Raw genomic sequence first — 18,179 nt, 5'->3', positions numbered from 1 at the left:
TCACTCATCCACTCTGAGTGGTGCTGTTTCCTGCTGGCCCTGCCTGACACCCAGGTATGTTAGCCGTCCAGGCTGCTCTGAGGATTTCCATGAGGTGGGGCTGGGGGCCACCCCCAGTTCAGCTCTCCCTCGCCAGGAGATTCTGCCCTGGTCACTTACTAAAGGCATGAAGGTCAAGAGGGGCATGACTTTATGTGATAATAGAGCAAATGACTAAAACACAACGTCCCGCACCTCCAAGACTCTGGCGTGAGGAATCCTCCATGAATGCTCCTTCACAGACACTTGCTCGATGCCTGGATGTCCTACTGGGCAGCTCCTGCCTCCTCCAGCTGCCAGCCCCCAGTCTCTCAAATTCCTGCTACTTCTTTTAATTCAGTAGCCATCCCCCTTCTTCACATTTTAGCCCATCAGGGCCATTCCCTGGGGGCTTCACATTTCACACCAAAGAGGCCTCCTAGTACTGGGCCAAACAGATGCTCTCTGTGGGAGACTCTGCACCGTCTTGTAAACCAGCGATTCTCCTCCTTCCGCATTATGGCCTCTTTTTACCTCATATAATCCCATGACCCTCTTTCTATGTATTGTGTAGTCTATGACATTTGGAAGAGGTAGCCTGCCTCTGTTTATCTGTCCAGGCACCCTGTTGTTGGATATCTATGGCGTTTATACTTTGTTAAACACATTTTTAGATCCAATTCCTCCTTTCTTCATTTCCCAGTTCTCAGGCATTGTGTATGGTTAAAATTAGGAGATGCTCAAAGTATGATTTCACAAATCACATGGTTTATTGCCCTACAGAGATGATATTTTTCCTAGGTTCACAATGCTTAAGGAGGGGGAGAACAACATGAACAAATCTCACAGGGAATGCGCTGGGTAGACAGGGTGTATTAGTCACGGGGTGAGTGAGTTCCAAAGTTACTAAAGTCTACTTGCTCAATTAGGATGGAAGCAGGCCTCTGTGGAGAGCGAAGCCTCATTAAAATGTGGTGTGTCTCTTTTATAAGAGCAGCTCTTGGGAGAGAAGCTGTCCAATGCAACGGAGATTCACAGAGACATATATGGTCCCTCAAGGCTAGAGGGTGGCACTGGTGTTTGTGGGCGATGCTTCCAAGTTCAAAGGCTAGCAGGGTGGGGCCCTGTCGAAGAGAGGCTGACAGAGTGTAGCTTGCCACAGCCCAAGCTCTCAAAGTGTCTGTCGAACCCTTAGGTTTTTACATAGTTTGAAGTTCAGTGGTTGAGGTCAGTAGCTCACTCGTAGGATCTGATAAGGTGTGATGTCACATTCTTGAGAGGGGGAAGGACTACAGTCCAAGTTCTTGTCATAGCAAAACATGTTACTCAAGCTATGGCCATGTTTGGAATCATTTCCAAGTTCCATAATGTCAGGAATGCTGCAGTGGTCTGTGTATGTGGTTTCAGTCACCTTCCACATAGAAAGCTTTGACTTCCCCTGAGTTATTTTGAGCAGATGGTTATAGGTGGTTCTTGCTCAGGACCGTCGTTCAGACGGACTCACGCAGACTAGAGATGCTCTCTTAAGACCTTGGAGCTCATCCGAAAGGGAACACCTCATGGATCTGCTGAATGTGAAGTCCATGCCGAAGGAACCACGACAGGAGGAGCTGTGTCACCAAACATTCTGATAGCTGCTCCTTGCTTTTCAGGCATTTCTGTGTAACATCCTACAACTCATGTAACAAGACAGTGAGCAATGAAAACCCTTGTTGTGTTGAGCCTGACAAAGGCGGAATTCCCCAAAGTCTGGCACAAACACCAGTCACGTGGTATCCTCCCCTAAAAAGGTGTTGAGTGGTCAAGGAAGTTTGGAAAACACTTTACCCACCATTAATGCATTTAGTGAAGTCTCAGAATCATGTATAAACATATTCTTTTTTTTTTTTTTTTTTTTTGAGACAGAGTCTCACTCTGTCACCCAGGCTGGAGTACAATGGTGCGATCTCAGCTTACTGCAACCTCTACCTCCGGTTCAACCAATTCTCCCACCTCAGTCTCCTGAGTAGCTGGGATTACAGGCATGCGCCACCACACTCAGCTAATTTTTGTTTTTGAGACAGAGTCTCGTTCTGTTGCTCAGGCTGGAGTACAGTGGTGCAATCTTGGCTCACTGCAACATCTGCCTCTTGGATTCAAGCGATTCTTCTGTCTCAGCCTCCTGAGTAGCTGGGATTACAGGCATGCACTACTACACCCAGCTAATTTTTGTATTTTTAGAAGAGGCAGGGTTTCACTACGTTTCCCAGGCTGGTCTTGAACTCCTGACCTCATGTGATTCACCTGCTTCAGCCTCCCAAAGTGCTGGGATTATAGGTGTGAGCCACTGTACCCGGCCAATTTTTGTGTTTTTAAAGGAGACGGGGTTTTGCCATGTTGGCTAAGCTGGTCTCGAACTCCTGGCCTCAAGTGATCTGCCTGTTTTGGCCTCCCAAAGTTAAATATATTCACTTTTAAAATCCAATATTTCCCAAACTTATTAGTTTTAATGTATATAAAACACCAATTAACATCTCACAAAGCTCAAGAGCCATGGAATAGACTTTAAGAAACATTGCCCTAAGATCCTAGAAATCTTTGATCACGATTATCAAAGATGGTCCTTGCTTTATAATAATCCTTTGAAAATTGTTGACATAGATATGAGAGTTAACTAGAGTGTTGGATTAATGAGGCCACCCTCATCCTGCAAATCTCTGCGGCTAGTGCTTTTACAATTCTGTTTTTCTGTTTTATAGTGGAAGAAGTGGAGGCTCAGGGAGATGAAACCCCCTTCCTTCAGACATAAAGTCAGTATGTGACAGTGTGGACAGATATGGCCCAGTTACCAGCCCCCTTTCGGCAGCTCTTGGAGGGGAGGCTAAGTTCTCACACAAAGGTGAGGAGGGCAGAACGTGCCTGTGGAGGTCAGCAGGTAATGGGACAGGTAGTGCCAGGCATCAAGCGGCCACACACAGAAGTCAGGCCCAGGCTCCAGGAGTCTGGGGGTGAGGCTGAGGCCGCGGGGATGAATTGTGTCCAGGATGCTTTCAGCCTCCTTCTCTCACCTCCCCTTGGGGCCCAGGACCTGTTCTCTGCACCTCCACCCAGTCTCCAGTAGATCCCCCCGAGGTATGGGCTGACACGAGGGTTTTCTTGCCAGGGGGATTTGCATTCCACAGGAGATGCATGAAGACCTTTGTACATTGGTAAACCAGAGAATGTTGGGTGTGACTAAAGTCTGAAAGTAGGAACCTGCTGGGCATTTGGGGCAGGGAGGGGGGCAGCCTGGTGGGGCAGGGTCCATGTGCATTGGGGAGAGAGGAAAGTTGAAGGAAGATTGGGTATAACCTTAAGTGCCAGCATGAAGCCCTTGACTTTATCCTGTTGCCAGCGGAGCCATGGATGGCATAGGCTGGACTGCCCTGACAGTGGATCACTGGTACGATCCTGCTGGAGTCCTTGGGCCTCTAGGCAGGGCATGGTGTGGGAGAGTTGGGTTGGTGTCAGAGAACTCTGGGCTTCCTGTAGATGAATCCAAGGGCCTTCTCCTTGGAGGGGCCCACTCGCTCCCAAAGCCTAGCCCACCTTCCCCAAGCTGCCCCCTTGTCAGCTCTATGTAGACACCAGGCTTCCATGCAGGGATTTGCTTTTTGCCAATAACAGAAAAGGGAGAAAAAAATTTCAAGCTCCCTGGAGAGGGATAACTGGTTGTATCTGAAACTCAAGGGATTGGCTAATAGTCCTCTAAGGAGCAGGGTGACATCAACACCTTGAATTACTCACCTGGTATAAAATGGCCCCAGTCCCTTCAGCCCAGCAGCTGCTCATCATTGGCTGTACATTGGAATCATCTGAGGAATTAAAAAAATATATATATATACATATATATAGATGCCTGGGCCCCATCTCCAGAGATCCTGATTGATTGGTCTGGGGTGCGGCTGGGATTGGGGTTTTAATCTGTGCAAAGGGCTGAGGACCACGGCCTCACAGACTTCTGCAGCGTGGTAGTTGGACATGCCACTGAGGTTGGTCACAGCTCTTTCAAATCAAGGTACTTCCTGGAGACCTCAGGGGCTGATTCTTGCTATACGAAGTGATTGTATTATTACAGTTCCTGAAATGCCCTGAGGTCCTGGGAGGAGAGTTCTGGATTCTCACCAGAACATTCTGAGACCTGACCTGAAAGGGCCCTGTCCTCAGCCTCCTGCCCCCTCCTCTTCATCATGACTATTCTTTCCTGCCCTGACGTGGGATTCTCACTCCATTCTGCCTCCCCAACCATTTATTTTGGACAATCATTAAAGATAAATGTTTAAAAAATCATCTAAGAAAACATGTGTATCCCACTGGAAATTTCAAGGCAATGAGTCATCACACTCCTGGTCCCCCTCAAATTCCCGTCTCTTATGTAAGGCTGAGTCATTTTTTTGTGAGGTCCGTGCATTGCAGAAAAAAATTGGAAGGCTCTCAAGATAAGTGTGTGTGTGTGTGTGTGTGTGTGTGTGTGTGTGTGTGTGTGTGTGTGTGAGTGAGAGACAGAGAGAGAGAGAGGGATTGATTCACATTATTTGCAGCTTTAGGGGACTGATGGTACCCCTGAGTTAACATCAGAGATTCCTCATCCCCTATACTCATTCTTTTTCTCTCTACTTCAATTTCCATCCGGTGATGTTTTTGCTCCAGAGTGCAAATGTGAGCCTTTGTCATCCTGCTGTCCCGGCTCAGGACCACTGTCTGTTGTGGGGCCTGAGGACAGGCCAGCCCATGGAGAGGGTGCTCCACTCCCCAGCATGCACATCCTGAGCAGGCCCCAGAGCCCGAGAGGTGGATGACCTATGTCTGGGGTCTAGCTTCCAGGTCTGGGTTCTGGTTATTTCTGATTTTTCTCAGAAAAATACAGAGGTTGTAGAGCAGGGTTCAGGAGAATAAAGAATCGCAGGTATTTCAAGGGAGCAAACTGAGGGAGCCCATTCCCTAGAGGAATGAGGTTGCTTTTTGGGAGTTTGACCATAAAATTGACACATAGAAATCAAAGCAGACAAAGGCCAAGCCATGCTAAAAAGAGACAGAATGGGGCCCAGGCCAGTGAGACCTGCGTATCTAAAGGAAAAGATGCCAGTCAGAAGGGGTCAGGTCTGCAGCAGAGAAGTAGAAAAGAGCCAGTCCTAGGCACACGGCCACACCCATCCCACACTGCCTGGGGAAAGGGATTCCAGTGTCCCCACTGGCAATGGCATGTCTCTGTTGGGGAGGTGCATGCCTCCCACTTTTGTAGCCTGAGATTTTCAATCATTTGCACTCAGTAAGGAAAGGCTCTGGTTCTGAGCCCAGAAGCCCAGGCCTGGCTCCTTAAGCATTGTGCCTACAGGAAAGGGAGGGACTGCATGTAGGGACGAGAGAGCAGCCAGCTGCTCACCACTTTTCCTGTGAATGAACAAAGCCACTGTATTAGTCCGTTTTCACACTGCTGATAAAGAAATACCCAAGAATGGGTATTCACAAAGGAAATTCACAAAGGAAAGAGGTTTAATGGACTTACAGTTCCACGTAGCTGGGGAAGCCTCACAATCATGGTGGAAGGCAAGGAGGAGCAAGTCACATCTTATGTGGATTGCAGCAGGCAAAGAGAGCTTGTGCAGGGAAACTCCCATTTTAAAAACCATCAGATCTTGTGAGATTCATTCACTATCATGAGAACAGGGCAGGAAAGAACGGCCCCCATAATTCAATCACCTCCTACCAGGTTCCTCCCGCAACACACGGGAATTGTGGAAGTTACAATTAAAGATGAGATTTGGGTGGGGACACAGCCAAACCGTATCATCCTTCTGGTTTGATACAGTGTGAGCTAATGTTGCATGAATTCCTCCCTTCATCACCGTGAGACCACCTCTCACGGATGAAATATAATCAGGAGAGAACCTAGAGGGGGTGAGGCCATCAGGTGAATACCATTCCTTGGGATCCACCGGCCTCCCCAGAGGGGTCCTTGGCTTTGTCAGAAGCCTCACCCCTTTCTTTTAACTTCCTGAGCTGTGCTGTCCAATATGGTGGCCACTGGCCCCATGTGGTTGTCGAGCACTTGAAATGTGGTCAGTCTAAACTGGCATGTGGTGTACATGTGAAATACATATAAAATTCTGAAGACTTGATGTGAAAAAAAATGAAGAATATCTCATTAATAATTCTCTGTACTGATTGCACATTGAAATAATATTGTGGATATATTGGGTCAAATAAACAATATTATTAAAATTAATCTCACCTGCTTCTTTTTACCTTTGATCCTACCCCAAGGCCTGCCAGAATGAAAATAAAGAACAAAGACAACAAAGAAAACAGCCGACAGGAACAGGATCTTGGGAGCCAAATATCAGGTGGGTGAGTGGTCACTGCCCCCAACATTGTACTGGGCGAATAGTGCCCCTCTAAAACTCTTGTCCACCTGGAACTTCAGCATGTGACTTTATTTGGAAATAGGGTCTTTGCAGATGTAATTAGATAAGATTTTACTGGGTTTGGCTGGTTATAAATCCAATGACCGTTCTCTAAGTCCATGTAAAGACACAGACACACACGCGGGAGGAGGAAGGCCATGTGGTGATGAAGGCAGAGGTGGGAATGATGCAGCTACAAGCCAAGGAAAGCCAGGGATTGCCAGCACCAACCCAAGCTGGGAGGAGGCACGGAGGGGTGCTTCCCGTAAACCAAAAAGTGCCTGAGTCAGGTATCAATCAATGCAGAGGTTTATTTTGCCAAGGTTAAGGACACATGCCTAGGAGACAGGTCGGTGCCTTTCTCCAAGGATGATTCTGAGGGCCTCAATATTTAAAGGAGAAAAGCAGGCTCAAGGGAAAAGAGGTCACATAACTGAATCCATGTGTTGCAAGAGAAAAGGAGTAGGTAGGGGAATGGTCAATTATGTATTCCTCTCAAGCTCACCATTAGATAAGGTGAACACAGAGTAGCTACTGTGGAGATATTTTACTTTTTATCTGTAGCTATCTGCTCAGGAAAAAAAAAAAGAAGGCAGCTTCTTCTATGACTCAGCTTTCAGCTTAATATGTTTTTCTTTTAGCAGGGTGAATTGGGGTCCCAAGTTTTTCTTTTCTTTGGCAGAGTGAATTGGGGTCCCAAGTTTGTTCATTCTTTCTTGCTTGCTTGCTTACTTGCTTTCTTGCTTTTTTTTTTTTTTTTTTCAGGGTCTCACTCTGTCACCCTGGCTAGAGTGCAGTGGTGCAATCTCAACTCACTGCAGTGTCAACCTTCTGGGCTCGAGTGATCCTCCCACCTCAGCCTCCTGAGTAACTGGGACCACAGGTGCATACTACCACACCTGGCTAATTTTTGTATTTTTCGTAGAGACGGGGTTTTGCTATGTTCCCCAGGCTGGTCGTGAACTCCTGAACTCAAGCAATCCCCCTGCCTTGGCCTCCCAGAGTGTTGGGATTACAGGCGTGAGACACCATGCCCGGCCTGGGCTCCCAAGTTTTTACTTTGCTTTCACGTTCCCTGGAGTCTTCAGAGGGAGCATGGCTCTGTTGACACCGTGATTTCTGACTTTTGGCCTCCAGAACTGCGGGACAATACATGTCTGTTGTTTAAAGCCACCCAGTTTGTGATAATTACAGCAGCCCTAGGAAGCAATATACTTAGTATGGAAAAACAATGTGAAATTTCTCATTAGTAATTTTTTATGTGAATTAAATGATTGATTTGATAATATTCATTTGGGTTAATACAAATATATTGGATTAAATAAAATATAGTATTAAAATGAATCTCACTTTTTTTTTTTTACTTCTTACAAAATATGGTGATTAGAAAACACTAGGTTGCATGGGTGACTTATTTATGGCTTGCTGTATATTTCTATTAGACAACGCTGTTCTACAGTGTACAAAACAAGGGACTCTGAGGTCCCTGTGTGTGAGACCCTGCACCTCTTCCTCTGGAGAAGAGAGAGTGGAGAAGCTTTTAAAACAGAAGCCCTGGCCAGGCACGGTGGCTCACGCCTGTAATCCCAGCACCCAGGCCGAGGTGGGTGGATCACTTGAGGTCAGGAGTTCAAGACCAGCCTGGCCAACATGGTGAAACCCCATTTCTACTATAAATACAAAAATTAGCTGGGCGTGGTGGCGGGTACCTGTAACCCAAGCTACTCGGGAGGCTGAGGCAGGAGAACGGCTTCAACCCAAAGGCGGAGGCTACAGTGAGCTGAGATCACGCCACTGCACTCCAGCCTGGGTGACAGAGTGAGACTATGTTTCAAAATAAATAAATACATAAATACATAAACAAACAAACAAAACAGAAGCCACACAAAGGCAGGAAAGGTTTTTCCACAAAGTCCAGCAGCAGTGTCCCCAGACACGAGGAAATATCAACATTTCAGCCTGAGGTGAGACCGGCAGGAGAACGGAAGCCCCTGGATAGGCTGGGAAGAGGAATCAGGAAAAGTCTTCTACTACAAGTGGGATAAGAATCTTGTGCCACTCCTGGCCAGGGTGGGCTCTGCCTTTGAGAACAATCACAGTGCCCCAAAAGGGAACCCTGTGCAGAGAAGGCCAGGGTAGGTGGAAGGCCGGAAAGACACAGGGAATGCTCCTGTCTCCTTTGAGGAGGGCCGGAGCTAGAGCCCCACACCTGCTACACTTTCAAAGGCAGCAACCCAAAGCCGGGCCAAGGTTCTAGAATCCTGCCTGCATGCCTTTGCTGGCCGTAGGCTGTGTGGGAGTGGGGTCTTGGGGTTACCCAAACAGCTCATTGGCTGTGGAGTTGGGGGTGTGGGGATGGAAGGTGGAGAGAGGGAAGCCACCTGGCTTAGCCAGGCCTGACTCATGTTTTCCTTGGCTAGAGCTGGGATTCCTGTCAAGGTTTCTGTCCCAAGATAGCATGGCTGACTGAGCCAGGCAGTGGCTGGATGCTGTATTTCACTGCTTGTCCAGGCTGAGAGGAGAACCAAAGATTGTCCCAGAATGTGCGTGGTATGAAGGTCTCCCTTGGAGCTTGAGATCCCAGCAGGAGCTATTAGATTGCCTTTGGAGGTGGGAGTTCAAGGGGGTAGGAGTTGGATGAGGATCTGACCCAGGACCCCCAAACAGCCCTCACTTTTCTGGGGACCCTGGGATGCAGAGAAGCAGGCCAGGCTGGTCTGGTTCTTTTTCAGGGATCCAAGGAAGCCCGGAAGTGACCTTGAGACCACTCTCAGGAGGCCCTGTCAGAAGAGCCCCTCCCTCTCTGCATAAAGGTAGCGCTGGTTTTATTGTTGTTGTTACTGTTATATGGCTTCCCCGAAAACACCCAGACAGGTTTAAGAGCACAGCTCACCCAAATTCCCCCATGCAAGCCATCTGTACCTAATCAAGCCTCTCTGTGTTTGCTTTGAGGGATACCTGGTTGCTTTTCCTGAAATCCCTTCTCCAGGAAACTGGTCCCAGCTCAAATGCCAGCTCATTCCAGGAAGACTAATACAGCAAGTTATTTTTTCTATAGATATTTACCTAGTGCCACAAAGCCACGTGTCAGACCTCATCTAGGGACCAGGGCATAGCAGTGAACAGCACTTCATGAAGCTCCATCCCATTCTGCCTTTCTGGGTATAAATGAAGGAGTCCTCAGAGGGTGGGGTGGTGCCTGCAAGGAGGCTGCTCAGGGAGCATGTGTTTTGACCAGTGAACAACCGGCTGGACCAAGGGGTCAGGCTCTAGTGGTGGCGTTGGACCCTGACTCAGCACTGTGTCAAAGCAATGGCGAGAGGTCCCTGCCTGCGTGTTCATTGGCGGCAGGGTCTGCATGCCTCCGCCTGCTCTCAGCAAGGAGCCCACTTTCCTCTCTGGGCTCAGCTCCAGTTCTCGGGCTTTCTCCCTCCCCGTCTGCTTCTTATCTCTGTCTCCAGTGTTTAGAAAATGTCATCTTCAGCAGTCAGGGCCGTGAACAGCCGTGGGAGCAAGGAGAGGCTTGCAGCAAGGGAACAGGGGTCCTACCAGGGCCTGGCTTAGAGCACAAAGCTAGTCAGAGCTGGAGGGACCCTTGGAGGCCAGCCACTCCTGCCAGACACCTGCCTGTTCCCTCCCCGACCCCCACCTCACCTTAGAGAATTGGAGATTTGTAGTTTTGACAGGTGGGGGAGAGAATGAGACTCTTTCTCCATCCCCAAACTTCCTCCCACCAGCACTAACTCAAGGGATATCCACTCTGTTTTACTTCATCAGAACAAGAAGACCGATTGGATCTGCTTAGGAAGACAAACCTCCCAGGGGCACGCTATTCAGTCCACTCCTGCTGGGGACAGAAGACCTTTGGGCAGCCCTGGCTCTGAGACTTGCCCTTTCTTGGGGCAGCACAGGTTTTAAAGACTAGGTGCCCTGGGGTGACAGACAGAGACCCCCAACCTGCTTTCCCTAACATTCCAGGAGGACCCAAATCACTGGCTCTTCCAGGCTCTTGGCCACTTTCCAGTTCCCATGAGGATTAAAAGGAAGAAGTGGACTTTAACTCCAGCGATGGGACTGTGGATGGATTGAGGGTGGGAGTGCCCTGAGACCCAAGGAGTCCGCCAGCCGGTTAGTCATAGAAAAACACCTCCCCCTTGGCTTAGGTGTGTACCTAGTGGAGGCAGAGCCGAGAGACAGATGTTTTCTCCAAATCTTTCCAGCCTTATGACTCTTATAATTAGACCTGGAAAAACATCTTTTCCTTTCTTCATTTTTTTTTAAAAGACCAGATTGTCTTAAACACAGAGTGATCATTTGGGCCACTGGAAAGCAGAAAAAAGAGAGAGATGACCGTTTGGAAATAATGCTTTCTTTCCACGTTCTGCTCCCCTACCCGCTGCCTACATGCCCTTCTCCCACTCTCCCCAACTCCCCCCGAAAATGCCCTGCTGCTGTGGCTCTGACTCCAGAGGAGATGGAAGATGACACCCCTGGGCTTCAAAGGCATTTCCAACAAGGGCTCAGCTTCTTGCAAAGCCTCTGAGAAAACCTTGGCCAACCCCCTGGCTCCCCGCTTCTAGCCTCGAAACTGAGGCTGCTCTGCCTGTCAGGAAGCCTATAAATCCCCAAGTCGGCAAGAAGCTGCACTCTGGAGCTCTCTCCATTGCTCAGATACCTGGCTGCAGGCCCTGGGCCGACCTCAGCCAGTCTAGAAGCTGGTGTAAATAAGCACATTTATCTCAGACAGAACTCATTTTCTGAGGAAGTGGATTCCCCTGGGGATACCAGCAATCAAAAAGTCCGTTGTTCCCTATGGGGCCACAGCTCTTCCCCATTTGACAGCTGATATTTAATTGATGGCTGCTTTTCTCCATAAGAATATTACACGGTGTTCTTAGAGTTCCAGCAAAATGATAACTCCTTTGTCCCCAAGGCAGAGGAGCAGTGGCTGTCCTCATATCTATCTAACCTGGGGGAAATACATATTAGGGTAACTGCCCATATATCATTGATCAAAAATTCCAATATGCTGCTGCCCTTCTTGAAACTAGAACCAAGCACAGTTTGCAGATAGGAGTTCCTGGGAGTTGAGCAATCTGGGAGAGTTGTATTACTCAGAAATGTTTCAAGTCTGGGAGAAAAAAAAGGAATCTTAGTCTTAGAGAGAAAGATCTGGAAAAACATCAGCCTGGAAGCCTCAAAGATGTGAGATGTCAGCATTAGAAGGGCACAAGTCAGCAGCCAGGGTGGAATTCAGAGCCTCACCAAGGCCATGCAGCAAGGTGTGGGGCAGATAGAGCCAGGTAGCTCCTCGGACGCTGAGCAGAGTGGCAGGCAGAAGGGAGCAGGAACATCCTAGGAAGGCCCAGGCTGCTCTGGAGAGCTCTGACGGAGAGGGGCTGTCTGACAGCCTGGCTGCCCAGAGGCCTATGTTTCAGCCCATTCCACTCCTCAGTGGCTATCTGACCTCAGGCGAGTCCCTTGGTCTCTGTGCCTGTTTCCTTACCCATGGCAGGAGATGGAGATGCTCAAGTAAATGACAGAAACAAGAAGGTCATGAACAATACACAAGGCAGGAGCCAACCGAGGAGGGCTGGGACCACCAGCCAAGTCTCACCAGCTGAATTCCATCTCGGGCCCTGGAGGCGGCAGCATTTACAACCACAAAGCAGCCTAAATTTGGCCAGCCAGAGGCCTTCTGCCCCTGGGGTGGGTCTCTGGAGCTCTTGCTGGACTGATGTTGCCCTAAGAGATCCTGGCTGGGCCTCTCCCCCTCACCCCACTCCTTCCTACTCGTGTGTTTGGGATTAACATTCATCCCTTGAACTTTTTCATTTTTCTACTGAGATGGAAACTTGGCCAGTGACCAGGCCTGGTTGTGCTCGCAGTACGGCTGGGCTCAGGCCAAACTCACGGTAATTGTAATCATATGCGAGGTGCTGGCTCACTGGGCGCCAGGGCTGGGGGAGGTGCAGGGCTGCCAGGCAGTGAGAAGGTGAGGGAAGGGCGCTGGGCTGGGCGCCAGGACCTGAGCCAGTGTGCAGACGGTATGGCCTTGGACTCCTGCCCTCACCTCTGTGAGCCGTGATTTCCTTGTTAATAAAATAAAGGGATTGGCTTATAGGAAATCTGAGGCCCCTGTCCAGGCTATTGTGGGATATGGACCAGATCTCATGTACTGCCTTTAATCCCCCCAACTCTGGCCTGGCCTTTCCTGTCCACATAGAGGGACCGTGAACAGGGTGTCACGTAGGAGGGTTCCAGCTTCCCACCCCTGCCCTCCCTCATCAACCTACCCGCTTTCTCACAGGACACAGAGCGGAGGGGCACTCCAAGTCAGCAGGAACTGCAACTATCACTGTCCCAGGAAGGCAAGCACGGGAGTAGCAGAGGGACTAGGATACCAAGGTGGGATGGGGATGCTTAAAGAAGAGTCTGGAAGGGAGAGGCCGAAGATTATCCAAGACAGCCTTCACCAGCTACCCTGGGGTGCAAGGGCAAACCTGATTCCCATTCCCCCTGAGCCCAGGGCTGGGGCTGCCCCTCTGCCTGAGTTCATCCACCCTCCAGGGGAACACTGCTCTGCATTGCTGGGGCAGCCCAGAGAATTCTTCACTCCGTGGGTTGTTGTGTCTTCTGTTCACACTGCAGTCTCAAAAGCCTGAGAATAAAGAACAGGCAAAGGGCTGTGAACGGTGGTTACTTGGCTAATTGCTATTGCCCAAGAGCAAGGGTAACCTTGTAAAGCACCGTCTGAGTAGAGGTGATGAGAAGTTTCTCCAACTTTCCAGAACCCTTGGGGTTTCTCTCTCTCCCTTTCTACTTCAAATGAGTCTCTCCTTGCCTCTTCCTTTGTCCATCTCTGTCATGTCCTCCCCTGCTGCTTTTCTCTTTCCCTCTTATGCCTGCTTCTCCCTATCTATCAAGAGAAGCAGAGTAGAATGATCTAGTAGAAAGAGAATGACTTGGGAGTCAGGCAACCTTGACCTCTTTAGCCTCAGGCTTCTAATCTATGAAACTGGGAAAATGACAGCCTAACCTCAGCACTGCCGGGAAGATTGAACAGGATGTTTCCCCACACATCATTTTACGTAGCTTCTTTATCTATGCCAGCGTGTCGGTCAGGGTTTGGTTATAATACTGGAAGCTGCTCTAGATATTCCAAATACACGGGGTTTTAATACAAGGGATTTAGAGGCATTCATAATGGACGGAAGGGCTGCATTAGGGAAGATCAGGGAAGTCACTGTCAGACCCCACAGAATCAGGAAGTGCCAGGATTGCAGAGAAGGCATGGAGATCATTTCAATTGCCTGCAGCACCAGAGCAGAAAGCAGACAGCGTGCAGGAGCTTGTTTGAAAGCCACCGTCTACCACGCATCTGCCCAGGCCAATTCAGAGAAGGGCTTTCTCTCGCCTTCAGCTTCTGATGCTTGTGCAAGTGCATCTTACTGCCAAAATCTAACTTAGAACCATGATGGAAAGGAATGCTGGGGAGTAAAGATCCCAGGATTTCCCTACCCCGGGAGACAGAGGAACAGGCAGAGGGGAAGTGGAGGCCTGCCGAGCCTGGCAGCATCCCCATCGGCAGGGTATAGTCTCCTGGTCCGCTCAACCCAAAGGCCCTTCCCACTTCCTCGGCTGCATTTGGCAGGAACAAAGGGTTCATATGCCATTGTGTCCTGGGAAGACGGGTAAGGGCATAGGAACAGAGAAGAAATAGAAGAGCTATTTTACAACTTGTGGAGACATGGAAAAAGGCAGTTAAAAAATAGTTGTCTTTCCAGAGGGCACACTATGAAGTCCTAGACATAGGGGATGTCAGGAGCAAGCAGCTGGCTGCGGAAGTACCCCGGGCAGGTCCTCTTCTGTGCCTGCTCTCTCTCTATCTGCAAAATGAAGGAGCTAAACTCTAAGGTCCCTTTCAGGGCTAAGCTCCTATGACTCCGATTAGTGAGACAGAAAGAAGACGTGCTTGGCATCCAGATGTGATGTTTCATGTCCCCTCTCCCTCTCCCCTGGCTTCTTCTCTCAGCCTCTACAAGTACTCAGGTCTTCGCATCCTTTCAAGACAAACAATCAAACAAAGCAACACCTCCTTATAAGACAGAGGGGATCTTATAACCCTCTCTTCAACTGCTGCTCCATCCCACTCCTTCTTTTTACTTCCAAACCTCTCGAAAGAGTTGTGCATGCGCACACTGAAGAGGAGACTGGTGTTCAAGCCCTCTTGGCTTGCAGGTCTCAGGCCTTGGAAGGGAAGAGCTGAAGAATTCATCCACTGGCAGGTGAATAAAGTCGGTGCTGATGCCACCTGTATGACTAATCAGCCTTCTGGAAGAAATTGCCTGACCGTGGGGTCCTGCTGCCCAGGAGGCTGGATTTTGGGCAACGCATTTGTTTTCTAGGGCTGGTGTCACAGATTACCACAAACTTGTTGGCTTAAAGCAACAGAAGTTAACAACCAAGAAAACAAACAACCTAATTCAAAAATGGGCAAAGGAACTTGAATAGACATTTCTCCAAGGAAGATATATAAATGGCCAATAAGCACATGAAAATAGGCTCAATATCATCAGTCATCAGGGAAATGAAAATCAGAGGCACAATGAGATACCACCTTCTACCTCCTAGGATGGCCATAAAAACAAAAACAATGCAAAGCAAAAAACTGAGAAATAACAGGTGTCAGCAAGAATGTGCAGAAACTGGATCCCTTGCACATTGCTGGTGGGAATGCAAAATGGTGCTGCTGCTTGGAAAACAGTTTGGCGGTTCTTCAAAATGTTAAACATACAATTACCATAAGGTCCAGCAATTCCACTCCTAGGTATATAAGCAAAAGAACTGAGAGTTGGGACTCAAACAGATATCTGTAAACCAATGTTTATAGCAGCATTATTCACAGTAGCCAAAAGGTAGAAACAATACAAGTGCTCATCACCAGATGAATGGATAACCCAAATGTGGTATATATATACAGTGGAATTCTATTGACCAATTAAAAAGAATGGAATTTTGATATATGCCACAACATGGATTGATCTTGAAAACATTATGCTTAGTGAAATAAACCAGACACAGAAGAACAAATATTGTATGATTCCACTTACATGAGGTAGCTAGAGTAGTCAAATTCATAGAGACACAGAACAGAATAAAGTTTACCAGGAGACAGGGAGAAGACAGAAGGGAGAGTATTGTTTAATGGCTAGAATTTATGTTGGGGATGATAAAAAAAAAATAATGGTGGCCAGGCGCGGTGGTTCACATCTGTAATCCCAGCAATTTGGGAGGAGGCTGAGGCGGGTAAATCACTTGAAGCCAGGAGTTCGAGACCATCTTGGCCAACATAGCAAAACCCTGTCTCTACTAAAAATACAAAAATTAGCCAGGCATGGTGGCACGTGCCTGTAATCCCAGCCACTCGGGAAGCTGAGACATGACAATCTTGAACCCGGGAGGCAGAGGTTGCAGTGAGCTGAGACTGTGCCACTGCACTCCAGCCTGAGTGACAGAGCAAGACTCTGTCTCAAAATAATAATAATAATGTAATAAAAATAAAAAGAATAAAGAAAAAGATAGTGGTGATGGGTACATAGCCTTGTTAATGTAATTAATGTTACTGAATTTTGCACTTACAAATGGCTAATATTATGTACGTATTTTTCACCACAAAAAATGTTAAAGCAAAACAAAACAAACATAAATGTTTCCTGTCACAGTTCTGGAAGCCAGAAGTCTGAAATGGCAGCGTTGGCTGGGCAGTGCTCCTCTGAAGGCTGTGGGGAAGAATCCTTCCTTGCCTCTTCCAGCCTCCCGTGGCTCCAGGCATTCTTCGGCTTGCTGCTGCATCATTCCAACCTCTGCCTCTGATGACATGGGCTTCTTCTGTGTCTGTCTTCTCCTCTGCATGACTCTCATAAGGACACTTGCTATTAGAATTAGGGTCCACCCTAATAATCCAGGATGATGCCGTTTCAAGATTCTTAATTATATCTGCAAAGACCTTTTTCCCCAAAAAGGCCACATTCACAGGTTTTGAGGATTTGTATGTTGACATATCTTCTGGGAGGGTCATTATTCAACCTACTGCAGTTCCCTTCCACACACACACCTCCCCAGGTGACTGGACGGGCTGTGAGCCTCTAAGCTCAGGGTGGCTCATCCATAGCCTGGCCAGCCTCCTGTGATGTGGTGTAGACTGAGCGTAGGAGCTGGGTTGATCAGGGTCATCCTTTCTGAAACAGGAGCTGGGAAACATGAAGAGCCTGAGCCAGTTTGCACCAGGGCCAGAAGGTGAAAGGTGCTTTCCGTGTGTGTCCAGTGGAAGCAGAAATTGCGAGGGAGCAGGTGCTGGATGTAAATAGAAGAAACCAATGAGCAGAGAGGAGAGTGAGGAGACACACAGCGAGGAAAGAGACGCCGCAAGGGAGATCTTGAAGACCACCAGAGAGACAGGCTGCTCCCAGGGATGGATTTGGTTGCTGGCAGCCCTTCAGGTACATGGGAGGGCCACGTGTACCTTCAAAAGTTCCCTGAGACACTTGCAAAGTCTTTTTGTTGGGGCCACTAGATTCTGACCAGAACAAGGGCAGACAGACATGCCTCATCCTATATAAAGGTGCCTCAGCCTGAGGTTACCGTGGAAGACACTTTATGAAGATAGCCTCAATAATTCCTCCTGCATAATGTGCCCCTTCGCAATGTGACTTTGCTGCTCTTCCCATCTAACAGTGAAGTTATTTGTCCTGCCCTTGAATACGAACTTGGCAAGGTGACTTATTTTGGCCGAGGGAACGTTAGCAAAGGTGATGCAAATAGAGGTTTGAAAGTACTTGTGCATGGGGTTCACCCTCTCCTTGGCTGTGGTTAGAATGTAGAGACCATGATGTGAATGAGCCTGAGCTAGCCTGTTGGAGAGACCACATGGAGAACTGAGGCCTTAAGCTAGTCAACTGCCAGACATGTGAGGACATCTTTGACCAGGCAGCCCTAGTCAAACCACCAGATAATTACAGCTGCATGAATGACCCCAGGCAAGACCAGCAGGAGACCCACCAACTGAGCCCAGCCAAATTGCAGACCTACAAAACTGCAAGCCAGTAAAATTGTTGCTTCAATCCACTAAATTTTGGGATGGTTTGCTGTAGGGTGGTAGATGTGTTCTATAGTTCTCACCTAGCCAAGACCCCAGCACCCCTAAGTACAAAGCCAGGCCCTAGAGGCAGCTAGCAGGGGTGAGTGGCAGAAGCTATAGTCTGCCATGAGCCATCTCTCCTTTGTCTTTTTAGTAATAGCTCAAGTCCACCCAACAAGAGACTACATTTTCTAGCCTTCCTTCAGCTAAGTGTGACTACATTTTTACCAATGGAATAGAATGAAAGTGATATGTACAACATCCGTGTTGCTTATTTATTTATTTAGACAGAGTCTCGCTCTGGTCTGTGTTGCTTCTTTAAAAGGAACTTGCTTGCCCTAAACTTCCTCTTCCTGCAGGCTGAAATGCAGAGCTGGTGCCAGCAAGGGTGGAGCTCTATGACAACCTCTATGATAGGGCTACTCAAAGTCTGGTCCACGGACTAGCTACTCGACACAGTCAATGAGCAGGTGAGTACAGAAATCAAGAAGAAGTGTTTACAAACTTTCATAACAAATTGACAAACTAATATTAGGTCTATTGACTATAACAGTAGGAAAAAAAATGGGATTTTAAAACTGTGTTTGGGCCAGGCGTGG

At 48.3% G+C, this 18,179-nt stretch overlaps 2 long non-coding RNA genes across 2 annotated transcripts in view, besides 1 other annotated feature; one reads left to right on the top strand and one right to left on the bottom strand.

The window, feature by feature from the left end:
- Positions 1-767: 767 nt before the first annotated feature.
- The window catches only part of LINC01119 (long intergenic non-protein coding RNA 1119), a 31,143-nt gene continuing 13,731 nt past the window's right edge, over positions 768-18,179 (bottom strand). Inside the window, exons 2-3 of the long non-coding RNA NR_024452.1 lie at positions 3,784-3,851; positions 768-1,688 (exon numbers count right to left, since the gene is read on the bottom strand). This is a non-coding gene — a long non-coding RNA (long intergenic non-protein coding RNA 1119). The remainder of the gene's footprint in view (positions 1,689-3,783; positions 3,852-18,179) is intronic.
- On the top strand, positions 6,248-10,691 carry LOC107985880 (uncharacterized). The gene is made up of 2 exons (XR_001739449.2): positions 6,248-6,380; positions 9,173-10,691. It is a non-coding gene; the product is annotated as an uncharacterized LOC107985880 (long non-coding RNA).
- Positions 9,670-9,964: an enhancer, noted in NCBI's record as "tiled region #12526; HepG2 Activating non-DNase unmatched - State 4:PromP, and K562 Activating DNase matched - State 5:Enh". NCBI's record gives its function as "activates a minimal TATA promoter and a strong SV40 promoter by Sharpr-MPRA in HepG2 and K562 cells {active_cell/tissue: HepG2 | K562}" and the evidence as "EXISTENCE:reporter gene assay evidence [ECO:0000049][PMID:27701403]".

Source organism: Homo sapiens, chromosome 2 (genome assembly GCF_000001405.40).
Source record: "Homo sapiens chromosome 2, GRCh38.p14 Primary Assembly".
NCBI lineage: Eukaryota > Metazoa > Chordata > Mammalia > Primates > Hominidae > Homo > Homo sapiens.
This window is presented reverse-complemented; position numbering and strand designations above follow the sequence as displayed.